This window comes from Homo sapiens, chromosome 5 (genome assembly GCF_000001405.40).
Source record: "Homo sapiens chromosome 5, GRCh38.p14 Primary Assembly".
Classification (NCBI taxonomy): Eukaryota; Metazoa; Chordata; class Mammalia; order Primates; family Hominidae; genus Homo; species Homo sapiens.
The window spans coordinates 70109808-70133526 of NC_000005.10; the positions used below are offsets into that span (position 1 = coordinate 70109808).

General features: G+C 41.0%; 3 pseudogenes across 1 annotated transcript in view; 1 reads left to right on the forward strand and 2 right to left on the reverse strand.

The window, feature by feature from the left end:
* NAIPP2 (NAIP pseudogene 2) overlaps positions 1–18630 on the reverse strand; it is a 35600-nt pseudogene extending 16970 nt beyond the window's left edge.
* The window catches only part of GUSBP14 (GUSB pseudogene 14), a 162716-nt pseudogene continuing 156651 nt past the window's right edge, over positions 17655–23719 (reverse strand). The window contains exons 6-7 of the transcript NR_024054.2: positions 18546–18627; positions 17655–17889 (exon numbers count right to left, since the gene is read on the reverse strand). The product of NR_024054.2 is annotated as a GUSB pseudogene 14, transcript variant 2 (transcript). The remainder of the gene's footprint in view (positions 17890–18545; positions 18628–23719) is intronic.
* Positions 22868–23169, forward strand: CDH12P3 (cadherin 12 pseudogene 3; annotated as a pseudogene).

Here is a 23719-nt window from a genome sequence, read left to right on the forward strand (position 1 = left end):
ATCGGCGGATGTCCCTGGCCCTGTTTGTACGGACAGCAATCAATAGGCAGGTCCGGGATAAGTGGTTTTTTTGAATCAGTTTTCCTATGACTTGAGGGATTGAACATATTTCTTTGTAGTCATCTAAAAGGAATAAGACCTGATTCTTTAACTGCTGGATAATGTTCCTCATGCACATTTCAGTAACAGATCCTTCTTTCTCTAGGAGCTGGTCACAGATGATACTGGCCAGCCCCTCGTCTGGTCTGGTGGAACTAAGGGAGAGGTAGAAAACCAGCTGGAACCTGTTTAACAGGGGACAGCATCCAGATGCCCACAGAAAAGCTATTTTCTTCAGGAGGACCGTCTTTCCACTTCCAGCTTCACCCTCCACACACATGACAGAGTTCAAGTTGCCAAAGACCTCAGGCAGCACCAGAGGTTCTTGCACAGGTTTGCTGATGTGTTTTGAAGCAATAGACAGATCACAGCCCAGCAAGTGGTCCGTGGCCAGATCGGAAGAGATATCAAGCAAAGACATGTGGCGGAAACTGGCGCTGGTATAAGCTGCTCTCAGCTGCTCATTCAGATTCTTTGCCTCTTGAAACCACTGGGCTTCACCCTGTGCCATTTCTGTGGAGAGAAAGAAAGGGGGGCACAACAGGGATTCATAGTCACATCTCCCTCAGTCTGAACGCCATGCCTTTTCATTCCATGATTCTGCCTGTCTACTACGAATGTGTTAGGATTTTCCACAGCCATCCATGATTCCCACATTGCAATCATCTCATAGGTTTTGGCACAAAATCGGAATGTGGAAAGCATGTGTCCAAAGTGCCACACTTGAAGCAGGGACCTAGACATAATGTGTGCTTATCATAAGCACCATGCATCTCAGGAAAGAGGCCAGGCAAAGTGACTCATGCCTGTAATCCCAGCACTGTGGGAGACCGAGGCAGGCGAATTGCTTGAGCCTAGGAGTTCAAGACCAGCCTGGCCAACATGGCAAAACCCTGTCTCTACAAAAAATACAAAAATTAGCCAGGTGTGGTGGCACATGCTTGTGGTCCCAGCTACTGGGGAGGCTGAGATGGGAGGATCACTTGAGCCTGGGAGGTCGACGCTGCAGTGAGCCATGATCTTGCCATTGCATTCCAGCCTGGGTGACAAAGTAAGACCCTGTCTCAAATAAAATAAAATAAAATAAAATGAATAAAAATAAAAATCTCAGGAAAGAAGTTTACTGATTGGTGCTTCTAAGGACTGGTTTGCTTGTACCTGAGACACGTTGCCTACTATCAGTTTGGTCCTGCCTGCACTCTGGAGAAGCCACAAGAATCTTGACTTTTGCTCATACACGACACTGTTGCAATGCTGCTCCTCTTTGGAAGCTCTTTGGACAATTATAAATACTCTTTTTTTTGCAACTGCCCTGTATACAAATATATTTACAAATACATATAATCCCACGTGCTACTTCAAAGTTCTTACCTGGCACTATAGGACCAACTGCTATTGAATCTTCAAGATTGCTTTCACTTGTGGTTTCCTTTGAAAAATAAAATCTTTTCTTAAATCAAAATTTGTATAGGAGAGTGGTGCATCATGTTGTAATCATTGGAGACTAAACATCTTCTAAACACAGCCCACCCTCAAATATTTATGCTGATTGAAGGGAGGGGTGCTTCAAATATAAAGCAATTAATAATCTGCAAACATCTGCAGGAATGTGTGTTCCTCAGTGGTTCATATATGATACAATCCATGGGTGATACTATCCAGGTAACGAGAATCATAGTGTCTTGAGCAAGAAGGTTCCTCCAAAAGTCATTAGGTGCAGCCTCTGTCCTTGGTTAACTACATTTTTAATATTACACATCCAGTACTTAGAAAGGTTATGTTTCTTCCTTAAAAAATAAGCTATTTCTATATCCCCAAACTTTTTTCTTTAGTGCCATTTTTCAATTCATATAGAAAATGAATCACGTGAATAGCAAGTTGGTTTTTGTGTGTGTTGGGGGTGGGGGGATGACAAACATAACATACCTAACACACAGCCTCAAAATAAGGTGGTATATGTGTGCATTAAATTAGTAGTGGCTTAGATCCCAGAGAACTAGGTAGGATTTCTCAGCTTAAAGTGGTCAGCCTATTACCTGGGTTTATGATTTTGTTGGGCACTTGCTTTTGTTAAAGTAACATCTTCTCAACCCCTAAAAAGGCCAAGTAGCAAATCCAGCCTTATTGCCCTCCACATGAAGATCCAGAGAGGATCCATTTAGCCTGGATGCTAATCAACAAAGTCTAAGAGAGTCTGGGCCTTGAAGTAGAAGAGATTGACTATACATTTCATGAAGCTAGGTATTGTGCCCGACTGGTTTATTGTGATTTCCCCAATCTGTACCTAGAACATAACAGATGTTTAGTAGATGTTTGTAGAATTTATTAACTTATTTATGATGAGACATTCCTGTTCAAAACAGTTTTCAATTATATGATCATGTGCTGGTAAAACAGACAAGATGACGGTGTTCATTACCAGTAATTCACAAAGTTCACCACGGCTCTGAAGGTCTGGAGTCACTTCCGCAGAGGACTTCATATTTTGGAGAAATGGACAACTAAGTGTAAAAGTTAAAAGTTATAAAAATAGTTGTATGCATTTAAGTATTTGTGTTAGGTATTTTTGTTGTTGTTGTTGCTGTTGTTGTTTGTTTTGTTTTTTCAGAGACAGGGTCTCACTATGTTGCCCAGGCTGTTCTGGTTTCAAACTTCTGGCCTTGAGCAATTCTCCTCCCTAGGCATCCCAAAGTGCTGGGATGATAGGTGTGAGCCGCCAGGCCTGGCCTTGTATTAGGTTTTTAAAAACACTATTAGAGTTTTAGTGACAAGAATTAAGTATAAAACTATCATTTCCAGTGATTCTCTCTGTCAGTGTCATCAGGTAAGGCACTTAGGTTGTGGCTCTCTGCAAGAGAAATGTAAATGGTTTATAAAGTAATGGTAAAGGATATCAAGGGAATTTGGTGGAATGAGTGCGTATATGACACTCCTCCATGCAACCAACAAAAATGAACTTAAAGAATCAAAAATAGGAAAAAAAAAACCCTCTATTTATGAATTCTGGAACAAAAAACAACATAGTGGAAAAACTGGTGAAATCCAAATAAACTCTGGATTTTAGTAAATAGTAATGTACAGTATATGAATTGGTACACTGATGATTTTGACAAATATGCTAGTGTAAGATGTTAGCATTAGGGTAAATTGGGTATGGCAATATATAGGAACTCTTTGTATTAGTTTGCACTTTTTCTGCAAATCTAAATAATTTCAAATAAAAATTTATTAAAAAAAGAAAAAAACTCTGTGAGTGCGGTGGTTCACACCCAAAATCCCAGCACTTTGGGAGGCCGAGGCGGGCAGATCACTTGAGGCCAGAAGTTTGAGACCAGCCTGGCCAACATGGCAAAACCCTGTCTCTATTAAAAAGAAAATTCCAAAATTAACCAGGCAGTGGTGGCGCACACCTGTAGTCCTAGCTACTTAGGAGGCTGGGGCACAAGAATCGCTTGAACCTGGGAGGCGGAGGTTGCAGTGAGCTGAGATTGTGCCACTGCACTCTAGTCTGGGCAATGGAGTGAGACTCTGTCTCAAAACAAAACAAAAAACAAACAAGGCCAGGCATGGTGGCTCACGCCTGTAATCCCAGCAGTTCGGGAGGCTGAGGCGGGTGGATCACTTGAGGTCAGGAGTTTGAGACCAACCTGACCAACATGGTGAAACCTCACCTCTACTAAAAATACAAAAATTAGCCGGGCGTTGTGGCGGACGCCTGTAATCCCAGCGACTTGGGAGGCTGAGGCAGGAGAATTGCTTGAACCCAAGAGGCAGAAGTTGAAGTAAGCCGAGATCGCACCATTGCACTCTAGCCTGGGCAACAGGAGTGAAACTCTGTCTCAAAAACAAACAAACAAACAAACAAAAAACTAACCAACCACAAACCACTCCATTGCCAGGTGCAATGGCTCATGCCTGTAATCCCAGCACTTTGGGAAGCCAAAGTAGGAGTTTCACTTGAGGTCAGAAGTTCAAGACCAGACCAACCTGTGCAACATAGAGAGACCTCCTCTAAAAATTAGCTAGCAGGGTGGCATGCATGTATAGTCCCAGCTACTTGGGGGTGCTGAGGCAAGAAGATCACTTGAGGCCAGGAGGTTGGGGCTACAGTGAGCCGTGATTGCATCACTGCACTCCAGCCTGGGTGACAGAGTAAGACCCTGTCTTAAACAAACAAAAAATTAAAAAAGAAACCCTCCGTCAGTATCAAAAGAAAAGAATGGCCACAAACATACTCTCTAAAAACTACTTGCCAATCTCATGAAACTAGGACGCAAATACCCTCTAAACTCAGGTTTGATGTATGCTTGAAGAACAAGAGAGAAAGTTCAAAAAGAGCTCTAGTTGCAATTATTAAAATGGACAGATGAGAACTATACATGTGAGTAAGTCAGTGGCCTATTCCATGCTGTAGAATCACTGGAGAGCAGGAGTAAAGCAAAGGGACACTTTTTTTTTTTTTTTTTTGAGACAAGGTCTCACTCTTTTGTCCAGGCTTGAGGGTAGTGACACGACCAAGGATCAATGTAGCCTCCAACTCCCAGGCTCAAGTGATCCTCCCACCTCAGCCTCCCAAGTAACTGGGACTACAGGCACGTGCCACCATGCCAGGCTAATTTTTTTTTTTTCTGGGCTCAAGGTATCCTCCCACCTCAGTTTCCCAAAGTGCTGGGATTACAGGCGTGAGCCACTGCATGTGGCCCAGATACTTCATTTGTATTGCCTTCAGGTGACTTGGCGATGAGTCCAGAAATAGAAGCATAGCTTCAGGAAAACAACAAGTAGAACTTTTAACGTTTCTGTCCAAAGTCAGCCATGTAGAGGTAAATAAAAACAAACCCATAGGGAAGGGGTGAAGTGGCTTACAAAAGAAAAAAAATATTTTAATAGGCCCATCAAGGAAAAGAACTATGAAGGAAGGTAAAATATAAACTTATTCATACAAACAAATGCCAAATAAAGTCAGTTGCCAGCATAACTGCACTACAAAAAATGTGAAAGGGACCAGGCACAGTGGTTCACCCCTGTAATCCCAGCACTTTGGGAGGCTGAGGCAGGCAGATCATGAGGTCAGGAGTTCAAGACCAGCCTGGCCAACATGGTGAAACTCTATCTCTACTAAAAATACAAAAATTAGCCTGGCATGGTGGTGGGCACCTGTAATCCTAGCTACTCAGGAGGTTGAGGCAGGAGAATCACTTGAACCCGGGAGGCAGAGGTTGCAGTCAGCCGAGATCGTGGCGCTGAACTCCAGCCTAGGAGACAGAGCAAGACTCCATCTCAAAAAAAAAAAAAAAAAAAAAAAAAGTGAAAGGAAGCACATCATTTAAAAGGAAAATGATAGCAGATGGAAATTTGGTTCTACTCAAAGGAATGAAAAGTACCAGGAATGATAAGATAACTAAGAGGGCAAATATGAAAGACTTTTGCCGTTGTAAAAATGTACTTAAATTGTTTAAAGCAAAGATATAACATTATATTGTAAGATTTATTAAAGTACATGGAAATAAAATGTATGACAATAGCACAAAGGATGAGAGGGGAGAAATGGAAATATACTATTGTATGGTTCATACATTTTATGTCAAGTGTTATATATTTTTTTGACCCAGAGTCTCACTGTGTCACCCAGGCTGGAGTGCAGTGGCACGATCTCAGCTTTCTGCAGCGTCTGCTTCCTGGGTTCAAGCAATTCTCGTGCCTCAGCCTCCCAAGCAGCTGGGATTACAGGTGTGCGCCACCACACCCAGCTAATTTTTTTGTATTTTTAGTAGAGACGGGGTTTCACCATGTTGCCCAGGTTGCTCTGGAACTCTTGACCTCAAGTGATCTGCCTGCCTCAGCCTCCCAAATTACCGGGATTACAGGCATGAGCCACTGCACCCAGCTGTTATAATATTTTTGAAGATTACTATGATATGTTAAATAGGCATATGGTAAACTCTAGAGCAAGTAGTAAAAAGGTAAAATAAGGATTAATAGCTAATAAGCTGACAGAAATAAAATGGAGTACAAAAAAAAATACTCAAGGAGGGGTAGAAAAAAGAAAAAAAAAAAAACCCTAAACCCTAGGAAGTCAGGAAAAGAAAAAGAAACAAAGAAGTGATGAAATAAATAGAAAGCAAATGGTAAAATAGGTTTAAATCCAACCATATTCATAATTGCATTAAATTTAAACGTTCTAAACATTCCAATTAGAAAGCAGTTATTGTCAGACTCTTAAAAAGCAAGACCTGGCCAGGCGTGGTGGCTTACGCCTGTAATCCCAGCACTTTGGGAGGCCAAGGCAGGTGGATCATGAGGTCAGGAGATCGAGACCATCCTGGCTAACACGGTGAAACCCCGTCTCTACTAAAAATACAAAAAATTAGCCAGGTGTGGTGGCGGGGTGCCTGTAGTCCCAGCTACTCGCGAGGCTGAGGCAGGAGAATGGTGTGAACCCAGGAGGCGGAGCTTGCAGTGAGCCAAGATCGTGCCACTGCACTCCAGCCTGGGCGACAGAGCAAGACTCCGTCTCAAAAAAAAAAAAAAAGAGAAAACCTGGCTGGATGTGGTGGCTCACACCTCCATCTCAAAAAAAAAGCAAGACCTGCTGGGTTCAGTGGTCCACACCTGTAATCCCAGCACTCTGGGAAGACAAGGCAGGAGAATTGCTTGTGGCTAGGTGTTCGAGATCAGACTGGGCAACATAGTGAGACCTTGTCTCTATAAAAAACTAACAAACTTAGCCAGGCTTGGTGGCATGTGCCTGTAGTCCCAGCTACTCAGGAGTCTGAGGTGGGAGGATTGCTTGAGCCTGGGAAGTCCAGGCTGCAGTGAGTCAAGACTGCACCACTGCACTCCAGCGTAGGCAACAGAGCGAGTCTGTCTCATAAACAAATAAAAAATAAAATAAAAGACCCCACTGTGTTGTTGCCTATAACAATTCACTTTAAGGCTGGGTGCAGTGGCTCATGCCTGTAATCTCAACACTTAGGGTGGCAGAGGTGGGAGGACAGCTTGAGCCCAGGAGTTTGAGATCTGCCTGGGCAACATAGTGAGACCCCGTTACCCACAAAAAGGAAAAGGAAAAAACAAGAATTGACTTTAAATATAGTCACAGATAGATTAAAAAGAAAATAATCTAAAAGATGTAACATGAAAAAACTAATAAAGGCCTAAAAAATACTATCAAGGATAAAGAGGGATATTTCTGTTTTTTAGAGACAAAGTTTTACTCTGTCACCCAGGCCACAGTACAGTGGCACAATCATAGCTCATTGCAACCTATACTCCTGAGCTCAAGCGATTCTCCTGCCTCTGCCTCCCAGGTAGCTGGGACTACAGATGCATGCTACCACACCCTGTTTGTTTTAAAAATTTTTTGTAGAAATGGAGTCTAGCTATGTTGCAAAGGCTAGTCTCAAACTCCTCGCCTTGTGCACTCCTCCCACCTCAGCCTCCCAAAGTGCTGGGATTATAGGTGTGAACCACCATGCCTGCTTGGGATATTTAATATATTCTCTGGAATATGAAAGACCAAAGGGCAAAAAAATAGCTAAGACACACTCTTGAAGAGAAAGAACAAGACTATTCTGCAGGAAAATATGAAAATAAGCTCAACTGCCAGGCGCGGTGGCTCACACCTGTAATCCCAGCACTTTGGGAGGCTGAGGTGGGTGGATCACCTGAGGTTGGGAGTCCGAGACCAGCCTGACCAACATGGAGAAACCCCATCTCTACTAAAAATACAAAATTAGCTGGGCGTGGTGGCACATGCCTGTAATCCCAGCTACTCGGGAGGCTGAGGCAGGAGAATCACTTGAACCTGGGAGGCGGAGGTTGTGGTGAGCCGAGATCGTGCCATTGCACTCCAGCCTGGGCAACAAGAGTGAAACTCCGTCTCAAAAAAAAAAAAAGAAAGAAAAAAAGAAGAAGAAAATAAGCTTAACATTATTAGTAATTACACTGACAAAAATTAAAATTTGGGCAATACCAAGTTAGTGAGGAAGCAAATCAATAGAAACGCATCTAGGCCAATGGGAATGTAAATCAGTGCAACCACTTGGGAAAAAGCTTTGCATTATCTAGTGGAGTTGAACACCCGCAAAGTTCTATGACTCTGCAATTCTTTACTTTGTTATGTATCCTAGAGAAACACACATGAGCACTGGAAAATATGTACAAGAATGTTCATAGGGCATTATTTGAATTTGCAACACTCTGAAAACGACCCACGAGGTTAATCAACAGTAAAATAAGTTATTATATATTCATAAAATAATACACTATTTACCAATGAAAACAAGTGAACTACAACTGTGTAGTACATATAAATATGGATGAATCTCAAAAACATCGTGGAGTAAAACCAGCCAATTACAAGAAGAATCATGCAGTATGCTTCTTATTTGAACTTCAAGAATAGACAAAGCTAAATATGTTTAAGGATGTATATGTAGTTGGTAAAACCACAAAGAGAAGCAAGGGAATAATTAACCCAAACTGAGCATCACATTTACCTCTGGATTGGAGGGACAGGGATATAATCAGAATTAGGGGGTGGTTGGCATGCAGAGTTGTTTTTTGTTTTTTGATTTTTTTTTTTTGAGACAGAGTCACGCTCTGTCGCCCAGGAGTGCAATGGCGCCATCTTGGCTCACTGCAACTTCCGCCTCCCAGGTTCAAGCCATTCTCCTGCCTCAGCCTCCCTAATAGCTGGGACTACAGGCGTGTGTCACCAGGCCCGGTTAAATTTTTCTGTTTTTTAACAGAGATGGGGTTTCACCATGTTGCCCAGGCTGGTCTCGAACTCTTGAGCTCAGACAATCTGCCCACATCGGCCTCCCAAAGTGCTGAGATTACAGGCGTGAGTCACTGCACCCGGCCGCAGGGGTCTTTTAAGGCATTGATAATGTCCAATTTCTTGACTTTACTAGGAGGTTCATAGGTTGCTTTTTATTCATTCTTTAAAGCATACATAAAAATTTTAGGTAATCATTTGGAGACATACTGGTTTGCAGTTTTTTTAAGAGGCAAAGGAAGAGTAAAAATCCAAAAAGGAGTTGGCTGGGAGCAGTGGCTCATGCCTGTAATCCAAGTACTTTGGGAGGCTGAAGCAGAAGGATCATTTGGAGCCAGGAGTTTGAGACCAGCCTGGGCAACAAAGCAAGACCCCATCTCTACAAAAAAAAACTTTAAAAAATTAGTCGGGCATGGTGACACATGCTTGTAGTCCTAGCTACTTGGGAGGCTGAGGTGGGAGGATCACTTGAGCCCAGGAATTTGAGGCTACAGTCAGCTAGGATTGTACCACTGCACTTGCTCCAGCCTGGGTGACAGAGCCGAGACCCAGTCTCTTAACAAAAAAACACTAAAGGCCAGGTGTGGCGGCTCACACCTGTATTCCCAGCACTTTGGGAGGCTGAGGCAGGAGGATCACTTGAGGTCAGGAGTTCAAGACCAGCCTGGCCAACATGGTGAAACCCCGTCTCTACTAAAAGTACAAAAAATTAGCCAGGCATGGTGGGGAGGTACCTGTAATCCCAGCTACTTGGGAGGCTGAGGCAGGAGAATCGCTTGAACCCGGGAGGCGGAGGTTGCAGTGAGCCGAGATCACGCCACTGCACTCCAGCCTGGGTGACAGAGTGAGACTCCATCTCAAAAACAACAACAACAAAACACTAAAACTAATAATAATAATAATAGTATAAAAGGGAGTTGATCGATTCCAGAGTAAGTTCTAAATAAGACTAGACTGCATCCTAGCTTATCCTTCCAAGAATTAAGTAGAATGTCCCCATTGTTCTCAATAATTTATTATACACTAAGCCCAAATAAGAAAGAAAAATGAGGTAACTACTGCTATCAAAATACCTTCAAGGCAATAAAATTAGATAGAAGTATTCATTTTGTTTTATTTTTGTTTTTACCACTATACAAATGAGCAGGAAGCATTCATTTTAAAATCTGTATGTGTTCATATTCATTTCTAAAAAAAAAACTCTTACTAATTACATAGTGAAAACACAAATTTCTTCTTGCAATTAAACATTTCTAAAGAGTTTGATGGGTAAAAAAAAATTAAGTTTAAAGATTCATAGAAAAGAAATATTTCTTCATAAAATTTTAGAACAGATATTTTTCTGAAAGCTTCCAGCAGAGGAAAAAAAAAAATTTTGTTTGCAGTAAAAGGATTGACAAGCAGAAAGGCATGGAACTTCTCGACAGCACATTAGGAACCAGTAGAAATGTAGCAGTGCCTCTACAATTTAGAATTAAAATGACTTCCAACCTATAATTCTACACCTAGCTAAACTATCAAATAAGTGTGAGAATACAGGAAAAACATATATCTAGATAGATCTATATGTCTGTATATGCATTATATGCAACTAAAAGTGTGTATTTCTTATGCAGTCTTTCCCAGGGAACTCCGATGAAGTGTTCCAACAAAATGAGCGAGTGAACCAAGAAGAGGATGACATTAGATCCAGGAGATACAACAGAGGAGATAATCTCCAGGATGCCTGTGAAGAAAGATCCCTGGATCCCAGGATGATTATAGGACAAGTTGTTCATAATCCAGCAGGCCAGAAGACTTCCAGGGAAACTCATTCAAGGAGGTGAAAATGATGGATGACTCCTCCAAGATGAAAATGGACCAGCCGCAGTGGCTCACGCCTGTAATACCAGCACTTTGGGAGGCTGAGGCAGGCGGATCACTTGAGGTCAGGAGTTTGAAACTAGCCTGGCCAACGTGGCAAAACTCCATCTCTATTAAAAATACAAAAATTAGCCAGGCATAGTGGTGCATGCCTGTAGTCCCAGCTACTTGGGATGCTGAGGCAGGAAGAATTGCTTGAACCTGGGAGGCAGAGTCTGCAGTGAGCCGAGATCATGCCACTGCACTCCAGCCTGGGTGACAGAGCCAGACTCCGTCTCAAAAAAAAAAGAAAAAGAAAAAAAAAATGATGACTCTTTCAAGAAATGAAAATGATGAGATATCTGGTAGGTCTGAATGACTTAAGAGGAGATTTAAACATTTGGGATAAGTTGAAGATGAGCTGGTGTTCATCTTCATTTATTTCATTTAAATAAATAAAATTATTAATACATGAATTTTATCTCAAGAAACAAAAATAAGCAATGTACATAAAAATTAAGCAGATGGCTGGCCGGGCGCGGTGGCTCACGCCTGTAATCAGAGCACTTTGGGAGGCTGAGGCGGGTGGATCACGAGGTCAGGAGATGGAGACCATCCTGGCTAACACGGTGAAACCCCGTCTCTACTAAAAAAATAAATAAAAAATAAATTAGCCGGGCGTGATGGCAGGTGCCTGTAGTCCCAGCTACTCGGGAGGCTGAGGCAGGAGAATGGCATGAACCCAGGAGGCGGAGGTTGCAGTGAGTGAGATCACGCCATTGCACTCCAGCCTGGGCGACAAAGTGAGACTCCATCTCAAAAAAAAAAAAAAAAAAAAAAAAAAAAAAAAAAAATTAAGCAGATGGCTATAATTTTTTTAAAAATAGAAAAGTGTTGATGAGAAATGGGAAACCTCATACATTGTTGGTCAAACTGTATGCTTCCATTTAGAGGAAATAGTCAGAACAAATAAATCCATAGACACCAATTAGGTTGGTGTATCCCAGGGGCTGGGCATGGAGTGGGGTGGAGAGAGAAGGAGGGCCTGCTTAGTGGATACAGAGTTTTCTTTGGGGGCGATGAAAGTGTTTTGGAACTAGATAGAGGGGGTGGTTGCACAACATTGTTGTTGGTGGGAATTTAAAATGGTGCAAGCACTGTGGAAAAAACAGTTTAGCATTTCCTCAAAAAGTTAAAACAGGCCAGGCGCTGTGGCTCACGCTTGTAATTCCAGCACTTTGGGAGGCCAAGCCAGGTGGATCACTTGAGGTCAGGAGTTTGAGACCAGCCTAGCCAACATGGTGAAACCCTAAAAATACAAAAAATTAGGCGGGCATGGTGGCAGACACCTGTAATCCCAGCTACTCAGGAGACTGAGGCAGGAAAATTGCTTGAACCTGGGAGGCGGAGGTTGCAGTGAGCTGAGATTGCACCGCTGCACTCCAGCCTGAGTGACAGAGTGAGACTCTGTGTGAGAAAAAAAAAAAAAAAGTAAAAACATAGAATTACTATACAGCTAGCAATATCGTTGTTAGGTATATGCCCCAGAGACTTGAATACAGTTACATGCTCCATCAGATACCTGTACCCAAATGTTCCTATCGGTATTACTCATGGTAGCCAAAAGGTAGAAACAACCCAAATATCTACAAATAGATGAATGGATAAATAAAATGCAGTGTATCCATATGGAATATTACTTGGTCTCAAAAGGAAGGAAGTACTTATGCAAGCTACAACATGGATAAACTTCAAAACAATATGCCAAGTGAAAGAATCCAAATGCAAAAGGTCAAACGGTATGCTTCCATTTAGAGGAAATAGTCAGAACAAATAAATCCATAGACACCAATTAGGTTGGTGTATCCCAGGGGCTGGGCATGGAGTGGGGTGGAGAGAGGAGGGGGGCCTGCTTGATGGATACAGAGTTTTCTTTGGGGGCGATGAAAGTGTTTTGGAACTAGATAGAGGGGGTGGTTGCACAACATTGTGAATGTACTATAATAAATGCCACAGAATTGTGTACTCTAAAATGGTTTAATTGCTGTGCATGGTGGCTCACGCCTATAATCCCAGCACTTTGGGAAGCCAGGATGGGAAGACTGCTTGAGCCTAGAAGTCTGAGAGCAGCCTGGGCAACATAGAGAGACCCTGTCTCTTAAAAAAAGAAAAAAAAATTAGCTGGGTGTGAAGACATGTGCCTGTAGTCCCAGCTACTTGGGAGGCTGAGCGAGGAAGATTGCTTGAGCCAGAGAGGTCAAGGCTGCAGTGAGCCATGATTGCACCACTGCACTCCAACCTGGGCAAGAGAGAGAACCTGTCACAAAAAATAATAAATAAATAAATAAAATGGTTACTACCTGAATTTTACCTCAGGAAAAAAAAATAAGCTAACATACCAACAGGACAGTTATTACTTCCTAAAAAAATAAAAGGATATACAGGAAGGGAAAAATAAATAAAAATTTACCACAAGCTTCAGCTCCACATAGCATTTGTATAGTCATGATAATGTAAACATGTAATGTGAATATATGAATCTAGCCAAAACTATGCCATAACTATAAAGAGGGGAAGGCTAGTACAGGAAGGGGGTCATGGAGCAAAGGGATGAAAGACATGAAGACTCATCCTTCATAGCCTGAATCCGAGGAGTGGATAAAGACTCAATCTAAAGATAAAATAAGGCAGGAAATGAGGAAAAAGAAAAAAACTGTTGAAGTGCATCCAAAGTTGCAGATGGTTAACATTCATTCCACTCACTTGGGAAAACATCTGGTGTGATCGTCTAATGGGTCATCACCTTCCTGCCATTTCTCTAAACACCCTCCACAGGAAAAGCACTGGACGATGTCCTTTATACCTAAAAGTAAGGAAACTTGATCAGTGCCACTGGCATGGGCATCTGTCCATTAACATGCAGATAATAACCACCAGACCTGTAATAGTGAAAGCCTATTCAGTCTCCAGTTGGGTTTTGTGACAGTCAGAAGTTGGTTACCAGTGAGGCAATTTTCTATATAAGACTCTGTCCACCAATGGGGTAACTGGCAAGTAGTCATTGAATGCTCCTACACACCATGCACTTTGATGCACACCATCCCTCTGCCCCATTCTCCTTTGATCAACAAACAGATTGGCAACCAGAATCTGGAATTGAAGCTCCATGAGGGGGCTGGGCGCAGTGGCTCATGCCTGTAATCCCAGCACTTTGGGAGGCCAAGGCCAGCGGATCTCCTGAGGTCAGGAGTCTGAGACCAGCCTGGCCAACACGGTGAAACCCTGTCTCTACTAAAAATACAAAAATTAGCTGGGCATGGTGGCACATGCCTGTAATGCCAGCTACTCAGGAGGCTGAGGCACAAGAATCGCTTGAACCCAGGAGACGGAGGTTGCAGTGAACCAAGATAACGCCATTGCACTCCAGCCTGGGCAACAAGAGTGAAACTCTGTCTCAAAAAATAAAAATAAAAATAAGCTCTATGAGGGTAGAGGTTTTTGCTCACTAATGAATGACATGAACCTAGAAAAGTGCTTGACACTCATGTGGCACTCAATTAGTATTCGTTTAATGAATGAATCAGAAAGAATATATTTAGAGCTCACGGAAAAAAAAATACCAGCAAATCTAGCAGCCCTTATGTAAGTGAATGCATGAAGAATTAATTGCCTCTTACCACATTATTGCCATGTTTATTACACCAGAAATAGGATTAAGTCTCTTTGTGAAATTATATTTCTTTGGAAAGAAATTGGTATTTAGCTCTGCAAAAGGATCAAACTAGAAACAGAGCATTTCTCATCTTCCTTCCACTCTGGGAAAGCTGGGGCAGAGGAAAGCCTCCCAGAAATATGAGATCCTAGAGCTTGCAAGATCTGAAAACAGTCAGAGATGATTAGGATTTGTGTGGAGTGGTGGAGGATTGGAAAGGAAGAGGGGGAGCACACTGGTCAGAGGGGTCTTGCGGAAGGCTGACAAGAGGAAGACACAGTAGAGTAGGGAGAAATGGCAAACACTCTTTCCAAAGGCTTAAGATTGTGAGGCAGTCAGATTTTTTTTTTCCAATGGCACATGTCTGTTAGGTAGAGTGACAACTATATTCTGCTTCTCTGTGTTGCTCTATGGTATTTGTGACAACTACTTGATCTCTCAGTTAAAGATCTGCATTAACCTCCACTGTAACTTATGCATGTGTTCGGTTTGAGCAAGACCAGCAAGGTACCTAGGAACCTTTCCCTGATCATCTTGTATTTCAGGCAGAGATTTAGCTGACAGGAACCAGCCCATCATTTATAGATTGCAGAGGTGCTTCCTAATGACCAGCAGCTAAAGAGAAAATGCCACAATCTGGTGGAAGGCTCTACGTGTTTAGGAATCATGAAAATTAATTTCCTGATTTTCTCCTGCAGGCAGAATGTGGCAAAGATTGCTATCCATGTTCCTATTATCTCAAATCCTTCCATACTAATAGAAATCCCAATATTTAGCTGGGCACATTGTCACCCAGGAAAAAGATTAGGTTTCCCAGCTCCTCTTACAGCTAGGTATGGTCATCTGACTAATAATAATAATAATAATAATAATAATAATAATAATTATTATTATTATTATTATTATTATTTTTGAGACAGAGTTTCACTCTTGTTGCCCAGGCTGGAGTGCAATAGCATGATCTTGACTCCCCGCAACCTCCACGTCCCAGGTTCAAGCGATTCTCCTGCCTCAGCCTCCCAAGTAGCTGGGATTACAGGCACCCGCCACCATGCCTGGCTAATTCTTTGTATTTTTAGTAGAGACAGAGTTTCACCATATTGGCCAGGCTGGTCTCAAACTCCTGACCTCAGGTGATCCACCCACCTCGGCCTCCCAAAGTGCTGGGATTACAGGCGTGAGCCACCATGCCCGGCCCATCCAACTAAGTTCTGATTAAAGAAATATAAGCAGAAGTGTCCTGTGACAGTTTCTAGGAGCACTTTGTCAGGGGACAAGAGGTGAGGAGAGTAATGTGTAGAAAGAAAAGACATGATAATTATCACAAATAGAATACTTGTATTCATTGTTAGTCCAGACCTTAAGGTTTCAAATTTGAAGGTTTACCACCTAAGGGAGGAATAGAAAACTGGGAGAGGATTTATGATGCAGGAAAGAAAAGAGATGTATGCCAGGTGCAGTGGCTCACACCTGTAATCCCAGCATTTTGGGAGGCCAAGGCAGGAGGATTACTTGAGCCCAGGAGGTTGAGGCTGCAGTGAGCCATGATCTCGCCACTGCCCTCCAGCCTGGATGACCATGTCTCAAAAAAAATAGAAAGAAAAGAAAACGAATCTATAAGAAATGCTGAAGAGAGGCCTGGCGCGATGGCTCACACCTGTAATCCCAGCATTTGGGAGGCCAAGGCGGGCAGATCACGAGATCAGGAGATCAAGAGCATTCTGACTAGCATGGTGAAACCCTGTCTCTACTAAAAATACAAAAAAGTAGCTGGGCGTGGTGGCAGGCGCCTGTGGTTCCAGCTACTCCAGAGGCTGAGGAAGGAGAATCTCTTGAACCCGGGAGGTGGAGGTTGCAGTGAGCCAAGATCTGCATTCCAGCCTGGGCAACTCTGTCTCCAAGGGGGAAAAAAAAAGAAAAGAAAAAGAAACGCTGAAGCTAGTGGACATTGCTGAGTGTAGCTAAACGTAAGCCCAGGAGCATAAAGTCTATGTGGGAATTAAAGGTCAAGCAAGCAAGTGGGCACAACCTACTGACTCACCTGTGTAGAAAAGACCTGCTTTGGCCAGTGCTGCAACTCCCACAGCTGATTCCCGGGGCCAGTCCTTAAAAGAGTCCAGCCGTAGTTCTTCGTAAGCAAAGATGCTGTCATTGCAATAAGCTTGAATAAAAAGCACAAGGTGAGACCAGCAGGCTTTAGTCTTTTTTTTTTCTATATCTTTATTGCTGCTGCACAAATTAAAGAGACCAGTAGGCTTTGATATTGCAAGTATCAGCGTTCAAGTTGTCCCTTCACAGTTACAGATGGAATGATGTCTAGAGTTTGCTTCAAAATAAACGGGGCGGGGCGGGGGGGACGACAAAAAGAGATAGGGACAAAAAATCAAAAGAAGAAATAAACAAGCAAAGCCTTTGGAAAATGTTTGAGTTTTTACCTGATGCCATAGGTAATTCTCTCTGGACCCAGGAATTCACAAAATGTTCTCCCTGAGGGAAATTAAAATTCAAGTTGTTGATTATCTGACTTTTTTTTTTTTTTTTTTTTTGAGGCAGAGTCTCACTCTGTTGCCCAGGCTGAAGTGCAGTGGCAGGTTCTCGTCTCACTGCAACCTCCGCCTCCTGGGTTCAAGTGATTCTCCTGCCTCAGCCTCCCGAGTAGTACAGGCATGTGCCACCACACCCGGCTAATTTTTTTTTTTTTTGTATTTTTAGTAGAGACAGACACGATGTTGGAGGTCTTTTTTTTTTTTTTTTTTTTTTTTTTTGAGACAGAGTCTCGCTCTGTCGTCCAGGCTGGAGCACAGTGGCACGACCTTGGCTCACTACAAGCTCTGCCTCCCAGGTTCACGCCATTCTCCTGCCTCAGCCTCCCGAGTAGCTGGGACCACAGGCGCCTGCCACCATGCCGGGCTAATTTTTTTTTTTTTTGTATTTTTAGTAGAGATGGGGTTTCACCATGTTAGCCAGGATGGTCTCTATCTCCTGACCTCATCATCCGTCCGTCTCGGCCTCCCAAAGTGCTGGGATTACAGACGTGAGCCACTGCACCCGGCCCATGTTGGAGGTCTTGAGGCTGGTCTCGAACACCTGATCTCAAGTGATCTGCCCAGCTCGGCCTCCCAAAGGGCTGGGATTACAGGCATGAGCTACTGCGCCCAGCCTGATTGTTTGACTTATGAAGTATATACCTATCTATGAACAAGAACTGAAGGAACTTTACCCCAGAATGAAGAGTTTCACTGGATGGAACGGCAGAGTCGGAGGAGAATTATTCCTTTAATTTTTATTTCTGTTGATGTTGCAATTGTTTTTATGCAGTGCAAGCAAACATACACACACACACACACACACACACACACACACACACACGCATGCAAGCTGTGAATGTTTATGCATACTCAGGAGGAAGCCTTCTCAGGGTCACTGTTTCCGGAAACTGACCTTGAAAACAGACCTGCATTTAAATATCACAGATGTACTTTGACGAATGAGGAAGTAAGAGACATAGAATGGTAACTAAATTCATCAGGGTATTATATATTGAGCAACTGATTCTTCTGGGAAAGCTGCACCCAGTTTCTTTTTGAGGAAACACCTCTCTTCCCCCACTGTCAGGCCATGTTCTCTATAGAGTTCTGGTCTCCTGAGTCATGTTAATCAATAAATTCTCATTTTTGTTTAAGCCAGTTTGGATTCGATTTCCCATCACTCTCCACTAGGAAATTTTTACTGATTCAGGATAGTTAGCCAGCTAGGAAGAGCCAGCTCTGCAGCCCACTGTGGGTGACAGCGCCTAGGTCAGGAGATCTTAGCAAGCCTGCAGATAGGGGCAGCAGAGGGAAGCTGGGGCAAGTGGCTTCATTCATAAAGGGGAAGACTATCAGGAAGGCAAGCAGAGCCCGTCAGAAGCCAGCCCTGGAAAAAGAAAAAGGCTCTAGGTCAGCAAGTGAATGTGATATTTTTCACTTTGAAGATGGGAGCCAGGGGAATGAAAGGAGAAAGGAAGAAAGAAATCAAACCCATGACATAAAAAGAATGCCTATGCCCTTCTGAGTCAGACACTTACAGGTAATCCAAAAACTTGAGAAAAAAATTGCTGTTATACATTACCGTTATGTCAACAAATCCCTTGTAGCTTTGAATATACTGGGTAATTTCCTCTGAGGATTTCTTACTCCGAAGAAATTCACATCTGTAATTAATAAATATAATTAAAATTTACCCCAGTACTGTGATAGAGCTGTCCTATATCACAATGAACATTTATAAAGACGTATTGAATTGTTGAATTTTATTATACTTCAATAAAATTGCCAAAAAATTTACCACAAAACTTAGGAGAATTACCATTATTCTCATATAATTATTTGTTATTTCTATTAGTGACAACATGTGTAGTTATTTAAAATTAAATCTTCAGGTTAACTTTTTTCTTGAAATAAAACATGCAATACAATCAAAGAGACTGATTTACAGTAAATATAGGATGGAGCTTTTGTTTTTTGGAATTAAGCAGTGGTGACTAAATCTAGTCGCTAGGGTTATATGAAAGCTACTGGCAGTAAAGAGAACTATATTTAAAATAATAGGCCAGACGCAGTGGCTCACATCCAGGAGTTCAAGACTAGCCTGGGCAACATGGCAAAACCCCATCTCCACAAAAAATACAAAAATTAGCCGGGCATGGTGCCACACCTCTGTAGTCCCAGCTACTCAGGAGGCTGAAGGGGGAGGATCACCTGAGCCCGGGGAGGTAGAGGCTGCACTGAGCCATGATCAGGCTGCTACACTCCAGCCTGGGCAACAGACTGAGACCCAGTCTCAAAAGTAAATACAAAAAATCTTTTTAAGATAACAATATATTTATCTACTGAACAAAAAATTACCATGCATTAAAAAGTAATGGCTATTAGGCCAGGCGTGATGGCTCACGCCTGGAATCCCAGCACTTTGGGAGGCCGAGACAGGTGGATCACGAGGTCAGGAGTTCGAGACCAGCCTGGCCAAGATGGTGAAACCCTGTCTCTACTAAAAGTACAAAAATTAGCTGGGTGTGGTGGCGGGCGCCTGTAATCCCAGCTACTTGGGAGGCTGAGGCAGGAGAATCGCTTGAACCTGGGAGGTGGAGGTTGCAGTGAGCTGAAATCATGCCACTGCACTCTAGCCTGGGCAACAGAGCAAGACTCAATCTCAAAAAAAACCAAAAACAAAAAAAGTAACGGATGTTAATGGATAATTTTTGATTTTTTTAAAAAAGAGCACACTGAATACCATTTAAAAACATATTCCTTTCCCATAAAAGAGAAGCAGTTTTAAAATTAACTTTTAAAATTTCCTCCAATTCAGCTGGGCATGGGGGATCATGCCTGTAATCCCAGCACTTTTGGAGGTTGAGGCGGGTGGATCACTTGAGGCCTGGAGTTTGAGACCAGCCTGGTCAACATGGTGAAACCCTGTCTCCATCAAAACTACAAAAATTAGCCTGGCATGGTGGCATGCGCCTTGTAGTTCCAGCTGCTCTGGAGGCTGAGGCAGGAGAATTGCTTGAACCCGAGAGGTGGAGGTTGCAGTGAGCCGAGATCACGCCACTGCACTCCAGCCTAGGCAACGAGAGCGATACTTCGACTCAAAAAAAGAGAAGTTATCTCTAGGTAAGATCATGATGGAAATTTTCATCTTACTTTATACCTTTCACTGTTGAAATTATTTTACAGTTGAAGTAAAGGAAATTTTACAATATCCAACAAGAGCCGATGTCATTTATTTAATATCAAAATTAATATTGGAAAAATGTCTATACTTTAGGCTACCACCCATCTGCCTGAATTAATCAGCATTAATACTTAATTTTAAATATTACCTGTCAACGCAGGTCACTGAATGTGATCTCCTTTAAGGTATTATCATGTAATAAACTGCTACAAAAAGTCTAATTCTCTCAAGAGTTTTATAGTCATCCACTTCATTTTCAGGTCAACATTTTAACATATTTTCCCATATTTTTTTCTGAAGCTTTAATCTCTGCAAAGCCCATCTTTAAATTTGAAGGAAAAGGTAGAAGAGTGAGGAGCAGCAGTAATTAACTTGAATTTGGAACTTGGATATAACTAAAGACACATTTTGCTTCTTCATTTTTATGTCAGTTTGCAAAGGAAACAGTTATGATTTTAGCTAAATACAGAAATTTTTTTTTTTCTTTTTAAAATTCTACTTGTATCCATTTCAAAACCTACTCTGAATTTTCACTCAGTTCCCACAATATTACCATAATTCTTTGAGCTGTTGGCAAAATGGATCCATTTTATAAAGTCATGCCTTTTGCATTGAGCTTTTGCCTGTCTCATATATTTAGATAAATTTGAAAGCAAAAGGAATATCCACTGTGTTGAATATCTTTAATAGCATGGTTGAAATTTATAATTTGAAATTCGTAAGTTCAAAGAACATTTATCTACTGCTTGATTTTATGCTTGAAACTTCCTATGCTTCACAGCAGTTTTTTTTTTTAATAGGTGGACAAAAATCCTTCCTCCTATCATTCATAACAATTTTCTTTATACTTAAGTAAAATATACAGAAACTTTTAAAGGAACGCCAAAATCTTGTTCCCTCTTATTGTTGCCACATTATTTTTATTATATTACCCAACCAGGTTTTTATGGTTATGCTTATACTCTCATACAAAACAGTTTTAGAACAAATATTGAAGGAAATGCAGGGTCACAAAATGAATAAGTTTACCTTAATAACATTAATATGAACAATGATATTATTTTATTGAACTTAAAGCACGCTCTTGAGCTTAAGAGCAAAGATGTAGCCACAGTTGAACTTGTATTTATTTGGGCTATATTTGTGCTTTTAATTACTCATACTAATACACAGGAAGCTTATTTGCAACAGGATATTTATATAATTTAAAATATTTTCAGAGTTTTTGTGTGTGTTGAAATGTTAGGAAAACAGAACTCATTCTTAAGCAATGATTTGCAAAGAGCAGTGCTCATATGCAGATTTTTAAGGCATAGCCCAAATGGTTAGAAATGCTGCAAAAGTTTAATTTTCTTTTGGGTGATCTGTTGTCTGGAAAAAGCTGTTACATGTAAAAATTTGGATGCTGAAATCAAATGGCTATACCCAAATGAGCAAGAATAGTTTAAAACATTTAAATCAGCATCTGCATAAAAATTAATATAAATATTATTTATGACTGTTATGTATATATGTATATATAATTATATTATGTATAAGAATATATTTATACAAATATATACTACTAGAAAATTGTATATGATGCACTATTTTATTTTATGTAATATTTTATGTATATATTTATTTACACATAATTTATATACTTTTAAGACTGTGTCCATTTTTCATTTATTCTTGGTCTCCGGTTTGAACAACGCTGCTTTATGGCATTACACTGATAATTCTCTCTACTCTTTAGTTCTCTTCCTTATCGCTTATTCATGTGTATCTTATTCCATGCTATAATGTAATGTACCATACATGTGTTGAATTTTAAAAAAAAATTAGCAGAATTTCAATGCTTTCCTATATTACTCAACATAAATATTCTCTATATAGAATGAATTGGAACAAGCTATTTTGAATCTGAAAGGATAATCAGTGATTCTACCAATCATAGTGGTAAACTCATTCAAACTCAGCCTGTTAAAATGAGACGCTCTGCCCTATATCACTGAAAACCTCTTGATTTGCCAGATTTTTCCCTTCTTTACAAATGAAAATGCTTAGTGTTTTCTGAGTTCCTTTGCACTATCTCCCACTGGATTCAGGTCATTGATTTCATCTTCAGAACACTTGGAAAGTTTATTTTGTGGTGTCTATGAGCTAATTTATTTTTATTGCAATGTTTATTTAAAATGAAACAATAAGTACACTGAAGTTTTGTGCATTTCATTTTATGAAAATGTTATCCCAAAGGGATACAGAAGAACTAAATACAAATTTTCAAAATTTATTGTTTTTTTTTGCCTGCTGCTATATCTGAGGTTGTACTTTTGTTCTGATCTTTGTAACACCTCAAAAAAAAAATGGGTTAAGAGAAGGATGAACAGAAGAATGGATATGAGACCTATCTGATAAGGCAAGCAGATTAATAGACGAATGGAGGAATGTTTGGATGTATAGGTATATATGTGTTCATTGCACACATATGGAGGAATGTTTGGATGTATATGTATATGTGTTCATTGCACAGTTTTCAACTTTTTGTGTTGAAATTTTTATAAAAAGAAGTTGGAGAAATAAAAAACAAGAAAACAGAACCATAAGATTTTTATTTAACATTTTTGATTAAAGGAATTGTATTGCAAATTATGACTTTTTAATTTGGCAACATCCTTTTAATGGTGTTCTTTCTTTGTCCTTCTCTTTCTCTTCCTCTCTCTCTCCCTCTCTTCCCTAAAGCTCCATTCCGACTTAGACAAGGGAGAGGGCACTGCGAAATACACCCTCTCAGGAGATGGCGCTGGCACCGTTTTTACCATTGATGAAACCACAGGGGACATTCATGCAATAAGGAGCCTAGATAGAGAAGAAAAACCTTTCTACACTCTTCGTGCTCAGGCTGTGGACATAGAAACCAGAAAGCCCCTGGAGCCTGAATCAGAATTCATCATCAAAGTGCAGGATATTAATGATAATGAGCCAAAGTTTTGGGATGGACCTTATGTTGCTACTGTCCCAGAAATGTCTCCTGTGGGTGAGTAGGCAAATCAAAATTCTGTGAGATACAATGAGACCTCTTCAACATTGACTTTTTGCAGGTTGATGTAAACATCTTATCTATCATCTAAAAGAATTATTTTTCAATTCTAGAAAATACAGTTCTTTTCATTTATTTTTGTAACTTTTTTGTTTTTCTTTCTGCTTCATTATGAAGATAACTACAGGAATATATAACATTAGTTCCTGTTTTCCACCCTGTGAATTTACCTGAATTCATAGAATCCTTGCGTGCTTTAAGCAAAAAATGTATTTTGTATTGAAATTGATTCTTATCTCAATTCCAGACACCTATACAGTGCTGGAGACACCTACCCTACACCACGAAATGCCAGACAGTAATTCCTAGATCAAAGTAAATGATCTAAAGCATGCATCACATCTGATCTGGAAGTGGTCCAGAAACAGGTGTGTTGCATCTTCTGTAGCTGTAAATAGAGATTCTGGAAGGGTGATACTGTTTCCTTTTCAGGGTAAATAACCCATACTTGTTATGCCATCAAGCCAAGCAGCAAATGAATAATGTCATG